At 39.2% G+C, this 20,489-nt stretch overlaps 1 protein-coding gene and 2 pseudogenes across 10 annotated transcripts in view, besides 2 other annotated features; 1 reads left to right on the top strand and 2 right to left on the bottom strand.

The window, feature by feature from the left end:
* Positions 1–355, bottom strand: part of LOC389765 (kinesin family member 27 pseudogene) — a 36,878-nt pseudogene extending 36,523 nt beyond the window's left edge. Inside the window, exon 1 of the transcript NR_029410.1 lies at positions 224–355. The product of NR_029410.1 is annotated as a kinesin family member 27 pseudogene (transcript). The remainder of the gene's footprint in view (positions 1–223) is intronic.
* Positions 334–743: a silencer, noted in NCBI's record as "silent region_19990". NCBI's record gives its function as "represses an Ori minimal core promoter by ATAC-STARR-seq in GM12878 lymphoblastoid cells {active_cell/tissue: GM12878}" and the evidence as "EXISTENCE:reporter gene assay evidence [ECO:0000049][PMID:35858748]".
* Positions 774–1,083: a silencer, noted in NCBI's record as "silent region_19989". NCBI's record gives its function as "represses an Ori minimal core promoter by ATAC-STARR-seq in GM12878 lymphoblastoid cells {active_cell/tissue: GM12878}" and the evidence as "EXISTENCE:reporter gene assay evidence [ECO:0000049][PMID:35858748]".
* The window catches only part of AGTPBP1 (ATP/GTP binding carboxypeptidase 1), a 258,945-nt gene continuing 239,329 nt past the window's right edge, over positions 874–20,489 (top strand). Inside the window, exons 1-6 of one of the 9 annotated variants that reach the window (XM_047423092.1) lie at positions 1,169–1,545; positions 1,627–1,782; positions 2,748–2,919; positions 3,528–3,656; positions 14,821–14,870; positions 18,319–18,473. The gene's annotated coding sequence lies outside the window, so the exon portion shown is untranslated. Of the gene's footprint in view, positions 992–1,158; positions 3,657–12,827; positions 12,937–14,104; positions 14,177–14,820; positions 14,871–18,318; positions 18,474–20,489 lie in introns of those variants that run through there. The other 8 variants (XM_047423094.1, XM_047423088.1, XM_047423093.1 and 5 more) reach the window with 8 other exon arrangements.
* LOC100419824 (kinesin family member 27 pseudogene) overlaps positions 19,482–20,489 on the bottom strand; it is a 33,566-nt pseudogene continuing 32,558 nt past the window's right edge.

The following is a 20,489-nucleotide window of genomic DNA, read 5'->3' as shown; positions in this document are numbered from 1 at the left end:
GCGAAGGTAAAGAGTGAAAAAGAGGAGGAAGAGAAAAGGCAATCAGCCAATTTGATAAACTATTTTTGTCGTTACTGTTCAATATTTATGAAGCACCTTAATGCTCGAAATCTGACAAAAATTCGGTAAGGCTGTTCCAAACAATAACAGAAAAAAAAATCACTTTTCAATAGCTGGCGGGGGAGGACGAGGAGCACTATATTCAAAAAGTAATTCACTATACCTCATTCATGAATGAAAGCCAAATTTCACCCATAGGCTGTTAACCGATGCTCCGAAACTTATTCGCAAAGTACATAGAGAAAGAAATTGCGCTGGGCGAAACCTAACTCGGCCAGAGAAGCGGCTTCAAAACCTGAAAGGGAGAAAACAACGAGTCAGGTCGTTGCTCCAGAAATTTCCGAGCGCCTGGCTCCCCGGGAGGGAGTGCGGGCGCCAGCGGCGGTGAGGGGACGGTGGCACCTGTCACTCGAGCGGCCCCCACGGAGTCTCGGGAGGCTCAGCGGTCGCCGGCCTGGGAGTCGGGTGCGAGTCCCTCCCCGCCGCCCCGAGCCTTGCGCCGAGCGTAGGGCCGCGGCCCCTTCCGCGGAGCGGCCCTCCCGTGCCCTCTGCCCAGCGGCTCCGGCCAGTGGGGCCCGTCGCCTCAGGCCGAGTCCCCGCCACCCTAGGAGCCGAGGGGAGCGCTGTCGAGCCGCTGCTTACGCCTCCGGGGTTCCGGAGCGGACACCCGCGAGGCGGGCCCGCCTCCGCGTACTCACCGGGCCTCCCGGGCCGCCGGCTCGGCCCTCCTCTCCCTCCTCCCCCCGCCGCCGCCTCTCCCGCGGCTCCCCAGGCGGCCGCACTGGGCGTTGGGACTGGTCTGGGTCAAGTGTCGGCAGAGCTGGGGGCAGGCTCGCGCCGGGCGGGGGTCGCGGTCGGCCCACAGGCTGGGCACTAACGGGTCCCGGGGCGCCGGGGCGGACTGCGGCGGTGAGCGCGGCTGCAGGCCGCGGTGAGGGGCGGGAAGAGCGCAGCTGCGAGCAGGCGGGCGGAGGGTAGCGGGAAGCCCGGGCGGAGGGGGCGGCGTGAGAGCCTCGGGGCGGGGGCGGGGCCTGGCGCGTCCGCCGAGCGCGGGGGTTTGTTTATTTTCCCGGTTGGTAGCGGCGCTGGCGCTGGTTAGAGGTTCGCCGGTGACGTGAGCGCCCGAGTTGGGGGAGAGGACCAGAACCACCTGCTGGAGAAAGGGAGCTACGGGGGCCGGGCAGGGTCCAAACGCCTCACGTGGGCGGCGGCGCCACGGTCTTCGGGGTCACAGGGAAGAGAAGGGCTCTCCTCAAGCGGGTGGAAGGAGGGAGGCCTCCCGAGGGAATGAGACTCCAGGCCACTCCCCCGCAGCAAGGCAGGATCACCTGCGTCGCGGAGAGCAGTTAGAGGTCCCTGGAGTGGAAAAGGGCAGTGGGACCTGGTAGCTTGGGTTCCCTGCAACTTGGGGTTCGACCTCCAGGCAATGAAGTAGGGATGGTCCTGCAAGTCAAGATTCCAGTAGCAAGAGTGCATCAGATCTCTGTAAGGAAAATAACTAACATTGCTCAGTTCCCTGTAGAGTTGCAGGGCGCTTTGACGTTATCTCCCTTGGTTCTCCATCAGGTCGTAGTGGACTAATTTTACAGGCGAAGTTAAGTGACTTACCCAAAACCTCACAGCTAATAAACGGCAGAGCCGGCACCCAGCTGTACTGGCTTCCAGCGCATCCCATTATCTCCATAAATCCCCCTGATTCAACTAATATTAGACGCCCCACAGGTAAGATGCTTCAGAGTTAGAGGGGAGTTGAAGATACCTTTGCCTTCAAAGAAGTAAGGAATGAAACAAAGATAAAACAGACAATAAAAGACAAACCATGATAGGTGCCACGTGAAAAGTGGCAGAGTACTGCCGGGAATCAAAGAACCGTGTATATCTGTCTTGGGGATAAGGAAAGAAACGCAGCATGAAGGAGTAGGCATTTGGGATTGACCTTGAAGGAGACAGGGAGAGTTTTACAGCAAGAAGGGATAGCATGAGAATATATATGAAGGCGAATCAGTGAAAGTTGTGTTGGGGAAAGAGCAAAGACTCCAGGTATGTTGAGAGGTAGAAAAGACAAAGGAGTATGGGGCCTAAGATACCAAATGGATGAATTTATATTTAATTCAGTATTTTGAGTTTTTATGGTTCAGAAGTTTGGGGGAAGAAAAGGAAGGTTTTTTTTTTCTTTATGCTAGTGATTTATCTGTGAAGGGAAGCAGAAATCAGAGGTGGAAAAACTGACAGATCTACTGTAGGCCAGGTAAAAGGTAATGATGAGTCTGACCTAAAGGGACAGCCAGGGGAATTTAAAGAGCATAGTTGAGAGATGATGTGCATGCAGAATCTATAGAATTTGCTAACTGATTGATTAATTGTGGGTAGGAAGAGAGAAATCAAAGAAAGTGGAGGTTTTGAGTTTCTAGATAATTGCAAGAGAGAAAAGAGACAATTACAAAGGAAAGGAGAAGGAGCTACTTCTTGAGAGAAGATCAGTTTAGATTTAGACATTTTAAGAATTCAAAGGGTTGTCAAGACAGCCAGACGGACATGGACACTAATAAGTTAGAAATAAAGGTTTTGTAATATGGGAAAGAGGACTGAGCTAGAAAATAGACTCATAGATAATCAGCCTAGGAGTGATATTGCTGTGAGATAAAAGAAGAAAACAAAGTCAGAATCTTGGAAAACACCCTCTTCAGAGTCTCGCTGCTCAAAACGTGGTCAGTGGCCCAGCAGCACTGACATGAGGACCTTAGTTGGAAACTCAGAATCTCAGGCTCCACCCCAGACCTGCTGAACCAGCATCTTCAACTTAACAAGAACCCGAAGAGATTTGTGCCACATCAAAAAGTTTGAGAAGCTCTGATCTAGGTGAGCCAAGCCAGCAAAGAAAGGGGGTGGAGCAGAAAATGGGAGGAGAATAGGGTAATGCAGAATCATCAAGACAAGGTAAATTGGACTTTCACAAAAACGGGGCTGGAAGGAGTGTTGCTCAACAATATCCAAAACCACAGAGGTTGAAAAGCACAAGGAAAGAAGGTATGTTTGCACTTTGTGATTAGGTAGTAGGGTCTTTAAGACCACATTGTTCTCATTGAAAGCCTGGGAAGAAAGATCCCCTTTCTGGTCAAGGTTAGTCTAGGGATCCATCCCCTCTTCCCCAGTTCCCACGTATATGGGACATGTCGAGATAAGTAGATAGATTGGACAGTGGGAGAAAGTAGTTCTCTTCCAGTTGCTTCTATTTTCTCAGCAAAGTGAGGAACAAGATCATTTTGGCAGACTGCTAATTGTCCATCATAATTTAGTCTCCCCTTCTCCCTGAAAACACAGACTGCTTTTCTCAGCCTCTCTTTCAGTTGCATATGGTCAAGTATTAAGTTATAGAACATGAGCAGATGTTATGTCTGCCACTGTCAGGCCAAGGCGTTTACTTTGAGAGTACTTGTGCCTCTTTCATACATTTTCCTTTCTGCCAGCTGGACCCTGGACACGGTGACTCTGATTCAATTATGCAGATGACCACAAGCCTCTGGGGTTGGCAGAGCCACAAGAAAGAAGGTGCCTGGATGAAGGAGAGCTACCCACTGACCTGGACACCCAATTATGTGAGCAAGATATATTTCTATTGAGTTGGAGCCATAACATTTTGCAGTCTATTTGTTATAGCAGTTTAGCCTACTCTAGGTAATGTAGTCCTTAACGGAAAGTATTGAGAAAAAAAGAGAGAAGGGAGGTGAAATCAGAGTTTATGAGTGAGGGAGAGTGAACTGACTAAAGAACATGGTAAAGTTTCCAGGCATTACTAAGAGCCCCATTGAATAAGTGGTCATGAATTTATAGTGAGGCTAGCCACTTGGTTATGCAATTTTCTCTAGCCATATTCAGTTGCTCATGTGCAGGCACTGAGTAGGCAGTTTTGGCAGTAACCAGGACTGAGATTTGACCAGGCAAGTATAAGGGGAAGATAAGGGCAGAGTTGGTGGTGGTAGAGGCAAAGGAGGCCTTATAATTTCAGAAGTGGTAAGAAGTAAAGCTATGAGAGGAGTGAAGAATGGTGGAAAGACGGTAGAGTGACTGAATTGGTGTTTTTGATGAGGTTGAAGAATTGTTGAAGTTTAGTTACTATATGCAATGACCTTGGAACGATAAGAGATGGTTGGAGAGTGGAGGCTTGAATTAAATTAGAGGAGGAGCTGTAGTTACCAGTAATATTACAGTGTAAGGAATGCATATGAGAATGGATAATTGAGGTACCAGAGGGTACAAGATCCTTTGAAAGGAGGTAAAGGAATTGAGACACAGTAAGGATTTTGAAGTGAACATCCACATAGTTATATATATCTATTATACATACATACATACATATATACACATACCCCTCACAAAGAATTACCGCAAGAGTGATTCCACAGTAGTGTTGTAGTAGTGAGTAGTTTTGGAGAGAGTGATAGCAGCCCTAGTACTAAAATCTTTAATCTATGAGTGAGGGGTTGAATTCTTCAAATTAGGCTGCACAGGGACATCAGTGGTTTAATATGTTAAACTCTTGCAAATATCACATTTCATTAAACAGATGCTTTTACGTTTTATGTTGCTAAAGTGAGATTTCTAATTGCTTCTCTCTGACCTCTCAAATTACGATGGTAACTGCCTTCTTTTACAGGAAATGCCCATCTGTCTGTATTATAAACCAGACACATGCCAGGTTTTCCAATTTAAATGACAGTGCTTTAAAACTTGTCATAGACTACTCTGTCCTACCTCCAATGTGTATTTCAAGTAGATACATCTACAGATGCTAGCTCTGCCACATCAAACAATGCACAGTGAATGTTCAAAATCTACATTAAAAACCTTGGTTATAAAGAGCTAGATACCCTGTTTTACATGATGTGATTATTACACATTGCATGCCTGTATCAGAACATCTCATATACCCCATAAATATATACATCTACTGTATACACACAAAAATTAAAATTATTATTATTTTTGAGATGGAGTCTTGCTCTGTCAACCAGGCCAGAGTGCAGTGGTGCAGTCTCGGCTCACTGCAACTTCCGCCTCCCTGGTTCAAGCGATTCTCCTGCCTCAGCCTCCCGAGTAGCTGGGACTACAGGTGCATGCCACCACACCTGACTATTTTTTGTATTTTTAGTAGAGACAGGATTTCACCATGATGGCCAGGCTAGTTACGAACTCCTGACCTCAAGTCATCCACCCACCTCAGCCTCCCAAAGTGCTGGGATTATAGGCATGAGCCACAGTACCCGGCCCAAAAATTAAAATTAAAAATTAAAAAATTAAAACTTCAGTTATAGCTTAAGTTAACAGTAAGTAGGGATTGGCTAAAGACCTGATAAATTGAAAATAAGATTACCTGTAGCTTGGGAAATGATGTACCATGTTATATAAGATTGCTAGGGGTAGAATTATGAGGTTATTGTGAGGATAAGACACGTTACACACACACACACACACACACACACACACACACAACCATTCTAAAGACTGCAAGTACATATAAGCATTAAGTTAGGTATGGTTATTCTATTATCATACTTATTTCTAATTATTATGGAATTGCTTTAACTATACATGGACTTTTCCTACTTAGAAAATGTTCATTGCATATGTACATGTTAAGACCCAGTGGCAAGGGGACTTCTGGTTAAGCATAGTGCATTGAACATACGTTTGTCTCCACTTATTCCAGAGACCTCATTAAAATGACAGTAAAGGAATAAAAAAGATATAAATCTATAAAGAAAAAGCAAACAGGGAAAGAGATCCCCGCTGAATAAAATGCCAACAAAACTTAGAAACGTGGAAAGCAGATGGATGAGTGATCACTGACTTACCAAAGCTGCCAAAGTGACTACTTCAGCTTTTGGGAGAAGGCAGAACTAGCCAGAAGTGAGCCTATCCATGTCACAGCACCCTGGAAAGGCTCTAAAACTACAGCTGCTTTCTCTCCGAAAGCAGAAGGAGAGCAAGGCTAAAAAGGAGAATTCACTGTGAATGTTTTCTAAAGAGAATGAGATCCTGCCTCCCCTATATTCCCTACTCCATTCCATGCTGCCCAAATTCACCGGAAGATAGATGGTTTACTTTCTGGAGAGGTTCACTCAGAGCTCTCTTAGGCACCAGGCAGAGCTGAAGACAGGGGTGACTCACTACACAGAAAAGCAGAATTAAGTGAAGTTGTGCATATTAAATTATAAGGCAGACCCCTTTCCCCCAGCTTCATTCACAAATTCAGATCCTGGAATGCTGGGATCCTTTCAAGAGACTGGAAGCTTCTTAGGGGAAAACCAGCTGCTCCAAGAGAAGAGGTCTCCAAATATTGAGGTTTGGGGATCCCATGGTGAAGAGTGTGGCTTGTTGACTGTCTTTTACAGTCAGCCCAATAGTCAGCAATCCCTGATTGTACCTACAGAGGCTCTCATCAACATTTTATTGCCTCATTCTTTTATTTGAAAAATTTTGACTGGGCGCACTGGCTAACACCTGTAATCCCAACACTTTAGGAGGCTGAGGTGAGAGGATCACTTGAGCCCAGGAGTTCAAGACCAGCCTGGGCAACATAGTGAGATCCCACCTCTACGAAAAATAATAAAAAATTGGCTGGGCCTGGTGGTACACACCTGTAGTCCTAGCTACTTGGGAGGCTGAGGCTGGAGGATAATTTGAGCCAGGAGTTTGGGGCTGCAGTGAACTGTGATTGCACCACTGTACTCCAGTCTGGTTAACAGAGTGAGACCCTCTCTAAAAATAATACAAATTTAACAAGTTTTTTATAGATGGGGTATCTCTGTGTTGCACAGGCTGACCTCAAACTCCTGGCCTCAAATGATCCTCCTGCCTGTGTAAATTAGTTCAACCATTGTGGAGGACAATGTCGCAATTCCTCAAGGATCTAGAACTAGATATACCATTTGACCCAGCAATCCCATTATTGGGTATATACCCAAAGAATTGTAAATCATGCTACTATAAAGACATACACACACGTATGTTTATTGCGGCACTATTCACAATAGCAAAGACTTAGAACCAACCGAAGTGTCTATCAGTGATAGACTGGATTAAGAAAATGTGGCACATATACACCATGGAATGCTATGCAGCCATAAAAAGGATGAGTTCATGTCCTTTGCAGGGACATGAATGAAGCTGGAAACCATCATTCTCAGCAAACTATCACAAGGACAGAAAACCAAACACCGCACGTTCTCACTCATAGATGGGAATTGAACAATGAGAACATTTGGACACAGGGCGGGGAACATCATACACCAGGGCCTGTCGGGAGGGATAGCATTAGGAGGTATACCTAATGTAAATGATGAGTTGATGGGTGCAGCAAACCAACATGGCACATGTATACCTATGTATCAGACTGCACATTGTACACATGTACCCTAGAACTTAAAGTATAATGATAACAATAATAATAATAATAAAGATCCTCCTGCCTCAGCCTCCCAAGTAGCTGGGACTACAGGCATGAGCCACGATGCCCAGATATCACCTCATTCTTAAATGTGGTGAACAGTTGATGATCTCCATTTATTTGAAGAAACCTCCTTACATGAAAGACAGAACCTACAATGAACAAACAAGAAAAGAAAAAAAAGAGCTTTAGAGGCCAGGTGTGGTGTAATCCCTGCACTTTGGGAGGCCAAGGTGGGTGGGTCACCAGAGGTCAGGAGTTCGAGACCAGCCTGGCCAACATGGTGAAACCCCATCTCTACTAAAAATACAAAAAAGTAGCTGCGCGTGGTGGCACACACCTGTAATCCCAGCTACTTGGGAGGCTGAAGCCGAGAATTGCTTGAACCCAGGAGGCGGAGGTTGCAGTGAGCTGAGGTCACGCCACTACACTCCAGCCTAGGAAACAAGAGCGAAACTCCGTCTCAAAAAAGAAAAAAAAAAAAAAAGAACTTGGAGGAAATAAAAGCAGTACAGAAAGCCAGAAAACATGTCAAAATCAAGAAATTCACAAAAATTTTAACTTCCATATACTCTTCTCACTCAGGAAACTGCTAGAAGGAGAACTCCATCCAAGTAAAGGTGTATATCAAGAAACAGAAAAACATGTGGCTGGGCACAGTGGCTCACACCTGTAATCTCAGAACTTTGGGAGGCTGAGGCAGGTGGATCACTTTAGGCCAGAAGTTTGAGACCAGCCTGGCCAATATGGTGAAACCCCGTCTCCACCAAAAATACAAAAAAAAAAAAAAAATAGCCGATGTGGTGGCACATGCCTGTATTCCCAACTACTTGAGAGGCGGAGGCAGGAGAATCACTTGAACCTGAGAGGCGGAGGCTGCAGTGAGCGGAGATTATGCCTCTGTACTCCAGCCTGGGTGACAGAGTGAGAGTCCGTCTCAAAAAAGAGAAAAAGAGAAACAGAAAAACATGGGATCTGGTAAACCAGAACTCCGACAAAGCAGAAAACAAAGAGAATTCTCTAGATCAAGCTTTTCCAACCCGTGGTGTGTGGCCCAGGATGACTTTGAATGTGGCCCATCACAAATTTGTAAACTTTCTTAAAACATACTTTTTTGTGATTTTTTTTTTAGCTCATCAGCTATTGTTAGTGTATTTTATGTGTGGCCCAAGACAATTCTTCTTCCAGTGTGGCCCAGGAAAGCCAAAAGATTGGACACCCCTGCCCTAGGTGAAGGTGAAGGGAGGTTCCAGGAAGTCAGCTGTGTAGCAGGCCTGGAGAGCACACTAGAGGATGGAAGGCTCTAGAAGGGATATCTCCAAGAAAATAAAATGGAAATGATGGATTACCTAATATGTCTGAACCTTTTGAACAAAATTTCACAACTCTGGTGGAAAATACGGAGATGTAATGGTGATAGATATAGAGAAAACTAAGCAACCACCAGGTGTGGTGGCTCACATCTGTAATCCCAGCATTTTGGGAACTGAGGCAGGAGGATGGCTTGAGCTCAGGAGTTTTGAGACCAGGCCAGGCAACATTGTGAGACTTTGTCTCTACCTTAAGTAAAAAAAATTAGCCAGGAGTACTGGTGCACATCTGTAGTCCCAGCTACTCAGGAGGCTGAGGTGGGAGCCTGGGAGATTGAGGCTGCAGTGGGCTATCATCGCGTCGCTGCACTCCAGCCTTAGTGAAAGAATGAGATCCAGTCTCAGAAAAAAGAGAGAGAGAGAGATAAAACTAAGCAACTTAAGAAAGAAGAAAGAGCCGGGCGCAGTGGCTCATGCCTGTAATCCCAGCACTTTGGGAGGCCGAGGCGGGCAGATCACGAGGTCGGGAGATCGAGACCATCCTGGCTAACACGGTGAAACCCTGTCTCTACTAAAAATAAAAAAATTAGGCGGGTGTGGTGGTGGGCACCTGTAGTCCCAGCTACTCGGGAGGCTGAGGCAGGAGAATCGCTTGAACCAGGGAGGCGGAAGTTGCAGTGAGCCGAGACTGCACCACTGCTCTCTGGCCTGGTTGACAGAGCAAGACTCCATCTCAAAAATAATAATAATATTAATTTTTGTGCATACACAGTAGATGTATATATTTATGGGGTATATGAGATGTTCTAATACAGGCATGCAATGTGTAATAATCACATCATGTAAAACAGGGTATCTAGCTCTTTATAACCAAGGTTTTTAATGTAGATTTTGAACATTCACTGTGCATTGTTTGATGTGGCAGAGCTAGCATCTGTAGATGTATCTACTTGAAATACACATTGGAGGTAGGACAGAGTAGTCTATGACAAGTTTTAAAGCACTGTCATTTAAATTGGAAAACCTGGCATGTGTCTGGTTTATAATACAGACAGATGGGCATTTCCTGTAAAAGAAGGCAGTTACCATCGTAATTTGAGAGGTCAGAGAGAAGCAATTAGAAATCTCACTTTAACAACATAAAACGTAAAAGCATCTGTTTAATGAAATGTGATATTTGCAAGAGTTAACATATTAAACCACTGATGTCCCTGTGCAGCCTAATATGAAGAATTCAACCCCTCACTCATAGATTAAAGATTTTAGTACTAGGGCTGCTATCACTCTCTCCAAAACTACTTACTACTACAACACTACTGTGGAATCACTCTTGCGGTAATTCTTTGTGAGGGGTATGTGTATATATGTATGTATGTATGTATAATAGATATATATAACTATGTGGATGTTCACTTCAAAATCCTTACTGTGTCTCAATTCCTTGACCTCCCTTGAAAGGATCTCGTACCCTCTGGTACCTCAATTATCCATTCTCATATGCATTCCTTACACTGTAATATTACTGGTAACTACAGCTCCTCCTCTAATTTAATTCAAGCCTCCACTCTCCAACCATCTCTTATCGTTCCAAGGTCATTGCATATAGTAACTAAACTTCAACAATTCTTCAACCTCATCAAAAACACCAGCCTCCGTCTCAAAAAAAAAAAAAAAAAAAAAAAACTAAGAAGAAGAAGAAAGGGATAAAAACCTCCAGGAGAAATAGTCACAGCCATAAAAAACAACGAAATCATGTCCTTTGCAGCAACATGGATGCAGCTGGAGGCCAATTATCCTAAACGAATTAGTGCAGGAACCAGAATACCAAATACCATGTGTTCTCACTTACCTTACCCCTAAAAGTTAGGTGCCCTTCCTCCATACTCCCACAGTACCCTCTATATTTTTACCAGAGTCATTATATTCCTCTTTACTTTGTGAGCCCCTTAAAAGCAGAGACCGGGTCTGTTTTACTCATTGGTATGTCACTACAGTGCCAGGCTCATTGTTCGCATTCAAATGGTTGTTGAATGAACAAACTCAAATGTAACTGCCTGTTTACTTGTCTGTCTTTCCTCAACAGGCTGTATGTTCTTTGGTGGATGGATCTGTGGTTTATTAAGCTTTGTTTCTTTTAGCATTTAGCACTCAGCATGAAGACCTAGCACACAGAAGTTTATTGAATAAATTAGTCAGCATTATAATTAATCTTTAAAATACAGTATATAGCATTGAAGAATATATACAAAGTATTCTCAAGATACAGAGAGACATGGGTTGCTCAGGATTATTCCTTTGTGTTTCACTTATAGGAAAGATCTCATACTATAGACTACAAATGCCAAATGACCTACTGTGCTCATACCACCCTTAACCTAGAAATAAAATAGAAACAATTCCTAAAGAGACAGTCTTAAAAATAACCAGCTAAAATTTTATCAACAACAACAAAAAAGTAGTTGGGGTTTTTGCTCATTAAATTAGTTTGTATGGGTAAGCACCACCTAAGTTTCTTGACTCATGGCATGTGTTCTTAAACCAATTTACTATCCACTAAAAATAAATAGTGATCAATATATAAAAAGCAGTTGTATTTCGTGACACTAGCAATGAACCATCTGAAAATGAAATTAAGAACACAATTCCACTTACAGTAGCATCAAAAAGAATAAAATATTTAGAAATAAATTTAACCAAAGAAGTGTAAGACATGTACACTGAAAACTAAAAAACATGGTTAAAAGAATGGAAAGACAGCCCATGTTCATGGATTGGAAGACTGAATATTGCTAAGATGGCAGTACTCCCCAAATTGATCTACAGATTCAATGCAATTCCTATCAAAATTCCATCTCCCTCTTTGTAGAAATGGACAACTGGTCCTAAAATTCATATGGAAACTTAAGGGACCCCAAATAACGAACAAATGTTGGAAAAGAAGAACAAAGTTCATGGATTCACACTTCGACTTCAAGATTTACTACATAATCAAGACAGTGTGGTACAGTCTGTCATAGGACAGACATATAGACCAGTGGAATAAAATTGAGTCCAGAAATAAACCTGTGTGGTCAATTGGTTTTCAACAAATGTATGAAGACAATTTAATGAGGAAAGAATAGTTTTTTTCAACAAATTGTATTGACACAACTGGATATCTGCATGCAAAATAATGAAGTTGGACCCTTAACTCATACCATGTACAAAAACTAATTCAAAATTGATCAAAGACCCAAATGTAAGACTTAAAACTGTAAAGTGCTCTTCTCCTTCCATCAAAGCTGGTTGGATGTGATTTCCATGTTCAGATACAATTTATGATACTTGCTTCTTTTGGGCATGCATACATTAGAAGAGCATTTTTTGATCAGTATGTTTACATGTAGTTCTTAACAGCTTTATATATATGTGAGCTCAGAAACTTATTTCCATCTGAAAAAGCACCCCTAATTTTCTATTTCCTTACCCTGCTTTACTCTCTCCATAAGTAATATCACTGGACTATAAGTTCCTTGAGGGATAGGGCTTTTAGTCTTCAACTCTATCAGCAAAAATATAAAGGTTGATAGAAAATATAAAGCAGGAAAATGCCTATAAATTAAAAGCCTGTAGAAATTTCCATCTTTACATTTTAGCATTTACATATAGATGCCATTTTTTTATATTTTCAGGAAATAAATAACTTTAGCTACCAGCCCACCCTTTGGAAGAGGTACAGATTATTTCCCATATAAGAACTAAACCCCACAGTACTGGCCCATGTCTTGAAGGGTGAAGGGCCAACTAAACTCACATAATCAAATGCTTAAACCTAGCTTCCTTTCTTATGGGAGATACTGAATTTTGTAATAAACCTTACTAAGAATACCTCATACCACTTAAGGTAACTCAGGAAAACTATGTTAGTATTCTTCTTTTCTGATTTATTTGTTCACAATCCACTAGAATACTTATGATTGTAGGTTCCATTACCCTTAAAGTCTTGACCTTCTCTTTCCTTGGCTGCTCAGGTCATAGGTGCTGCAATCTAGAGACAAAATATTCCTTACACTGCCAGATACTTGCAAACTAAGGGGAACGAGCTTCCCTCTGAATGTTTATGAAGGAGAGACCACTGTGGTAATGTTAAATTTAATACACTTGTTGTATTTAGGAGCTAAAAGTCTCAGATGCTAAATGAGGACTGATTTCTTTTTATTTGATCATATACCTATACATGTGCAAAAAAATTAACTTCTTGTATTATAGTGTCTTTGGGGAAAAATAGTTTAAAATTCTTATCAGTTTTAAGAAAAGTTATTTTCCAGCTATAGTTCAATAGCTCACAAACGTAACTGTTACTAAAAAAATAAGTAATAAATAGCCAAAAACTGGTGGCCAAAGATCCAGTAAAAAACATCCTCTTTCACTCATAAATCAAAGAAATAGTCATGAAGCACTTCTATGGCTATAAAAATAGATTCAGCAAGTCTTTAAAATATTTTTGCTAGAATTCACATTAATCTTCCCAGAGAATACTCTTATTTATACTGTTGAAACATACATAACTAAAATTGGGAATTTGTTTAGAAGATATATATAACTAAAACTGAGAATTTGTTTAGAAGATGTCTTATGATTTGTTTATATAAAATAAACAACCATGTGTGCCAAACAGTTATCCCATTTTGACATCCAACTGTATGGAAAACCTACTTATAATTTAATCTTAAACATATATGATGCTTCAATTTTCAAAGTGCTTTCATTTGATAAAGCATTTATTTGATAAAGCATTTATTTGATAAAGTAAGACTATGTAACAAAAATATTTGCTATGTAACAAAAATAGTAATTTCCCTCCTAATTACTTTGTGTTTCATTTGAAAAATATGATTTTGATATTAAATGCAGGGTAGTGATTCATAAATAGTTTTTTAAAGGCTGTTTGGTTTAGAAAATATCATTTAATGTACTCTATTAATAAAATTACAGCCTGTGTCTTTCTAGTCATGTCTAACAGCTGGTGACACCTGGAGCTAGCCAGGAAAATGTCTAGTGAAACGGATGGGCTTAGCCCCAGGCCTTGAATGGAACAATTCAGATGCTGTCCAACCCTCCCAGGTGATGGGAATTTCAAAAGGAGATTAACTCCTCAGTATTAAAATACCTTGCCCTGTTCCCATTATTCCCATCTAGAAAAAGCATGCTAGAAAGTAACAACAAAACTTTGACTTTAATAGTTATAAATTATGAAAATTATCAGTTAGTTGAACTCAGATAACTCCTCACTCCTTTTCATTCCTAGAGGATAGACAGTGAAGTGCAACTACAGCCCGCAAATGAAAATGAATAAAATTAATCCAGCCCCTCAAGGCAGGCAAGTAGCTGCTGGTTTGTAATCTTGAATTAAAGTTTTTTTATACACAGGTTTTTCGGTAGACAAAATCAGGGACATTTTAGCAGAGGGAAAAAAATAAGCAAAATAGTTGAGATATCATTGTTTTACAAAAATAAATCCCATTTTGCCTACAGCAATTTTTTTGTTTGTTTTGGCATATCATTCATGGTTCTTCAAAGGTAAAATCACTTAAGTCCTAACTGCTTTCCTTCAGTGTATGTTGTTAGGCCATTGGAATTTACCACAAACTGCTATTTCTTGTAATTCTCTATTGAATGGCTCCACAATTTCTATTCAAATTCGATCTAGGATGGCTTCTTTTCATAATATCCTGAGTGAATAGTAAACATAGGAAAAGGAACCAGTATAAAAATATACCAGTATGAAAAATAAAAACCAGTATAAAAAATAAAAACCAGTATAAAAAAGTTATTTTTTAATGGCAAAGTCAGTACTAACCAAGAGTATTCTTTAGTGTTTAGAGATAGCCAAAGGTTGAATTTAAGTTTCAGTCCTTATGCCAGAGAAATATATTCTCTCAAAATATTTTTTGAAAATCCTTTGCTTGTCTATGGAATGCTTTCAAATAAACCTCTTTCCCCCCTGTCTCCCTCCCACTCCAGTCATCTGTCTTAGAGCTATTGGAATCCTGGATCATTGTGGGAAATGAAAAGTAAGTAAGTACATGCCTATGATTTGTTGTTGGTAAGTGTGGTGTGGGGTCCAAGGAATGGTTCGTTTAAAAATATGACACTTCAGACCACATAACTTTTTTTTTTTTTTTTTGAGACGGAGTCTCCCTCTGTCGCCCAGGCTGGAGTGCAATGGCGCGATCTCGGCTCACTGCAACCTCTGCCTCATGAGTACAAGCAGTTCTCCTGCCTCAGCCTCCCGAGTAGCTGGGACTATAGGTGTGTGCCACCACACTCGGTTAATTTTGTATTTTTAGTAGAGATGGGGTTTCATCATGGCCAGGCTGGTCTTGAACTCCTGACCTCGTGATCCACCTGCCTCAGCCTCCCAAAGTGCTGGGATTACAGGCATGAGCCACCGTGCCTGGCTGATCACATAACTTCTAACAATATTTACCACACTGGACTTGAAAAATTATACCTTGCTTTATATATGTACTTAATAAGCTTGAAAACACAATAATACAGTATACAAATAAGGTTTTAAAATAATTCCTTTTCTACTTTAGTTATATAATTATTAATAGATAGTTTTAAATTTCCAAGAATCATTAAGTATACATTTTAAAAAAATATTTAATTTTCTATTCTTTTCTGTTGTGAATGGTTTTGTTCCTTGGGCATATAGGGATCTTGCTCATTATAACAGACTATGAGATTGTTGTTTTTTCCTCTTAAAGTACTGTAGATAACTCAATAGAGCTGTGTGTTACAATTAACCAGTAGAACATAATATCTAAGTCTTATTCAATATATTTGGGTTCAAATTACACTGTTAGCATTTCAAATAGTGCCAATTCTGTTGACTCATTGCAGAAATTCCTAGAAGGAAATATAAAAACAGACAAATGAGAACTATGCAAAATATCAAAAGCCATCATTATAACATCAACTTTTTCTGGGATTTCTTTTCATAATTTCCTTTGTTCTAATTACCTCCATGTTGGAGTCATGTTGGGGTCAACATGAAAGCCATTATAAAAATCAAACACTATTCCAGTGTTTGATGCTTTCTCTTTGTATGCAGTACATTCCAGGGAATGGAAGGAATCGCAGCAGTCAACCTTGGTGTAGGCAATAAGGGGTGCATTGTTTACAGATAATTTAAAAACAACAAAACCTATGAAAAGTCAGCCTGCTTTTATCAGCAGCAATGACAGTGATAAAATACTTCTCCTTATTGGGCAGAGGCTCCCCAGTACCCTACCCTTGGTGTACTTCTGCCAACATAAGCTCAAAAGTACTACATGCCCAATGCTTTTGAGATGCTTATTGCAAATGGATCTCACTCTCGCCTTTATTTTCAGTTTTTGAAAATATAAATGTAGAAGAATATATTATCAGTGTTAATCAAGGCAGCCTACAATCTGTTACAACTTTAAATGTTTAAAATATACATAATGAATTTTTTTAAAAAGTCCAATGAAGTTGAGAGAGGAATTGTGGACATAAGTAACTTTCTACCTGAACTTTCAAATACTGATACCCCACTGTTTTAAAGTCACGAGTAGGTGCCTAAGGAAATAAGTGAAAGATCAAAATATGTCATACTTGCATTTAATGTGTAAGAATTTGTTTTGACCACAGAACCGAACTCCCACTAAGGATTTCACTCCCTGATAGTCATTCCAAAACTTAATATAAGACTTTCATTTTTTTCTATATAAGGAATTTAGTCTCAAATAAGCATTCCTCACTTTACTGGCCTAGACTGAACAAGGCAATGGCTAGTGGCAATCTAGTCCACAATTAATGAAGATCATATTTTTGCCGACTCCTTGGACCCTGGGTTCATGAAGATACGAAGAATTGAGGCAACAACAAAAAAATACATTAACAAAAAGAAAGCAAACATTAAAGCACAAAAGCACCTTCATCAATGTTCTCACCACCTGTGGTTCCCAACATAAAGAATTTTCCATCTCTGTTAGCTATAACACTCTAGAGCTAGGAAAGTAACTAGTACTTTACAAATATTTTTCCTTTCAAATGCTTTATTACAGTTAGAGGAAAAAAGAACGTAATGAACAAAAAAAAGAAAACCACAAACATTTTATATACATGCAAAAGGGCAATAAAGTGACAAAATGTTTAGAAAAAGCATGTGAAAAAGTAAAATCATTTAGTATATGTAAAAAAATAATTTTACTTGCCTTGGGTAGGTGTTTAATTTTTTTCTTTCCTTTGTGAGAACACCGACTAAACTAGAATGACCAGAGGTTGATTTCCAGAATATATTATTCACGACGTTATTTATATGTGTGTTTGCATATGTGGCATGAAATCTGTCATATATATAAAGGATATATGTTTAACCAAAAGGAAGAAAAACACCATACCTTTGTTATTTAGAAAGCAACTCACAATTGCATAATCAAACCTAATCGTTGTTTTGATATAAATTTTCTTGCTTTATTAGTGAGTTGGCTTTGAGGAAATGTGTATTTCCACAGGTAAAACAAGTATGTGTTAATTTCTTGAGCAAGTAGGATTCCAGTATCAGAATACATTCTCAAATGAATTATTCCTAAATAACGCATAGCACATTACTTAATCTTATAAGGAACTTATTATTAGGATCTTCATTAATAAATATTTATTTATAAATATTGCTGTGCTTGTTAAGGGCACTGACCTTTGGCCATTATATATATCTATATCTATGTATATATACAAGTGTATCTATATATACATTATAGCTATATAATGATATATCATGATATAAAATCATATTAAATAATATAAAGTGAAATAATGTATAATGTATACCCTATATCTATATCTATATACAAGTATATAATACTATATATATACAAGTGTTTATATACAAGTGTATATATTATAATGGTAAAAGGTCAGTGCCTTCAACAAAGCATAGCAATAATATATTTAAATAAATATGTATTTATTAACAAAGGTCCTCATTATAAGTTCCTTGTAAGATCATGTGCTATGCCTTAATTAGAAATAATTAATTTACACATACTTGTTTTACCTATGGATATACAAACACATTTCCTTATATACTTGTATAGGTACAAGTGTATATATATATATATGAAATATATATAATAATGGCAAAAGGTCAGTGCATTTATACATATTTATAATGTGTATGTTTTACCTTTGGTTTCTATGATTTATATTTATATATAAATATACATAAATTTATAAAAGTGGAAGACTAGCTGGAAACCAGAATCTGACTTCAAACAGTCTCTGGTAAAAATAAAATTTCCCAGTTAGTTTGTAAATTCGTTTTTTGAAATTTAGAAAATAGTATCTCATTGGACCAATATTTATAAATTGTTTCATTCCCAGGTAAGTCCACAGAAGTCTATTTAATTTAAATAAATTTTAGTACCATGCTTAAGAGATAAACTATTTTCCTTTTTATAAGTTTGTTTTGTTTTGGTTTGTTTCTTAAAGGAACTGGTTTTTAGCAAGGAGACCAAGAAACTCTACTCCCTAGGGGCTAGCAATGAGAGAAAGGAAGCCTTGAGTCTTTGAGCACAGGGTGACAGTTTGGGTCCTATGTGAGATGATCAAATCCACAGCAACAGAGGAAAGGACAAAAGGAAAAGGTCTGTAGCAGCACTACATCAGAAAAAATGGATTCCGCAAGGAAGTGGGTGACTCTGAGTAAGCATCCATGTCAGGATGGTTTTGCTACAGCCCCCAACCAAACATTAATTAGTTTAAGAAACTCAACTTCGGTTTACAAGTGTTTTGGAAAAGTAACAAAGAACAACCTAAATAACAAAATAATTCCTCAGGTCATTACAATGGATGTTTCCTATAACTGAAAAATATGGTTAAAAAGTACAAACTACATTTGGTGTGCAAACTGTTTAGTTCTTAATTCCAAACTAAATTGTACATTATATAGTAAAATTTTGACCAGAAAAACTTGGAGATTTTAGTAAAAATTTCATTGACATATTTACAGCCCCAGTGTAGTTTGGCCAGTGTGCAAAGCCTGACTAAGGAGGTTATAGAAAAAAATATCAGACTTGAAGCCTATCAAATCATTAAAGATGCTTTAGCAAGACTTCAAGCTTTACAGACATACTCCATGTGACCAGAGATGTCATAACCAGTGTTCTTTCTCTTGAAATGTTAGAATGCTTTAGTTTTATTCTATAATTTCCGTGTTCCATGGAACAGCATTCATTTCTCCCAGTTTTAGTAACATAATGAGAGATATATTGAGTGTATAGAGCAGGAAAGACATGAAAACTTATATTGCATAATATTAGCAAACAAAAAAGATAGCATTATAAATTTTTAAAAATCCAAAAAATTTCCAGAAACAGAACAGTGAGCATGTTTAAAAAGTCAAGACTGACCATTTCTGTGAGCTCTGAGGACTGTAAATGAGCCTCAATCCATAAAGCTGAGAGGTTGTCTTAGCCCACATATGCAGCAGGTGACTCCCTCTGACAAAAGCAAGATTTAGCTGGATCTTTTAAAAAATAACAATATACTTGTATTTGAGAATAACAATAATATAGTTATATTGTAACATACTTTTATAATGTACATTTATATTATATAGTAATACATACTTGATAGATATTTTAGTCTATTACTAGTTTTATTCTTCAAATATGCCTGGAAAAACATTTAAGCGTATTTATAAATGTAAATATTTAAATGTTATCAAGTATTGGAAAACATGTTTGATTACTATGGGAATATAAACTAAAACTCCCCGAATATATATAGAAGATGTACACATCTATAGCATATAAAAGAATTAGGGATTCCTTCCTCCCCTTCTTCCTTTATGCTGAGGAAAGAGGTAGTGAACTTGAGCTTTAGTTTTTAACAGGTTAGAAAAAGGAATCTTTTTACATATCTACTAAAAGTTCTATTATTCAATGTCTAAGTTTTTAAGTCCCTTGGTTTTCTAGATACTTCGATGGAATCAGCAGCCATTGATCCAATGCCAACTCCAAGACTGGAACGTCGCAATGATAGTTCCAAGGCGGAAATTTGACGTAATTCTTTTCGACACAGTTTTACAGGTGTGACACCATGAAGTCGTCCCACATTTCCCACAACCTGAATTTGGGATGACAGTCGACTGAGATTTTGTAAACTGATTATCATCTGTTTCTGTTTTATTCTCATTACCTAACATATGCCCACTGGGGGGTGCTAAAGAACTATGAATTGGAGGTAATTCTGGGATATCTTCCCAGAGCTTTTGAGGATTTGGCTGTGTTCTTAAGCTGCTTGCTGAACTGTCCATTTCTCTTTCTCTTCCACTTAATTTCATACTTTCAGGTCTGGATGCCCATTTTAATTCTTCTGAAAGCATGCCTCCTTCTGGCTTCAGGACTCCATCTCCAGCCTTATGATCTAAAAATAATCCCCAAACCAAAAAATTAGATATTATTTCCTCAAAATTAGGTGTTTTAATCAAAACATCTTAACATAAATACATTATTATCACCCAATATGCATAATGTTGTTCAACTTTTTTGTTAAATGACTTATTTTAGATGAACAGATGTGTGAATATGAATATTTTTATTTCACTTACAGGCATCTTGCATGTGAATAACTCACAACTTTAATTCATGGAACAAATT

Source organism: Homo sapiens, chromosome 9 (assembly GCF_000001405.40).
Source record: "Homo sapiens chromosome 9, GRCh38.p14 Primary Assembly".
Classification (NCBI taxonomy): Eukaryota; Metazoa; Chordata; class Mammalia; order Primates; family Hominidae; genus Homo; species Homo sapiens.
The sequence above is the reverse complement of the archived record's forward strand: the minus strand, read 5'-3'. Positions and strand labels throughout refer to the sequence as shown.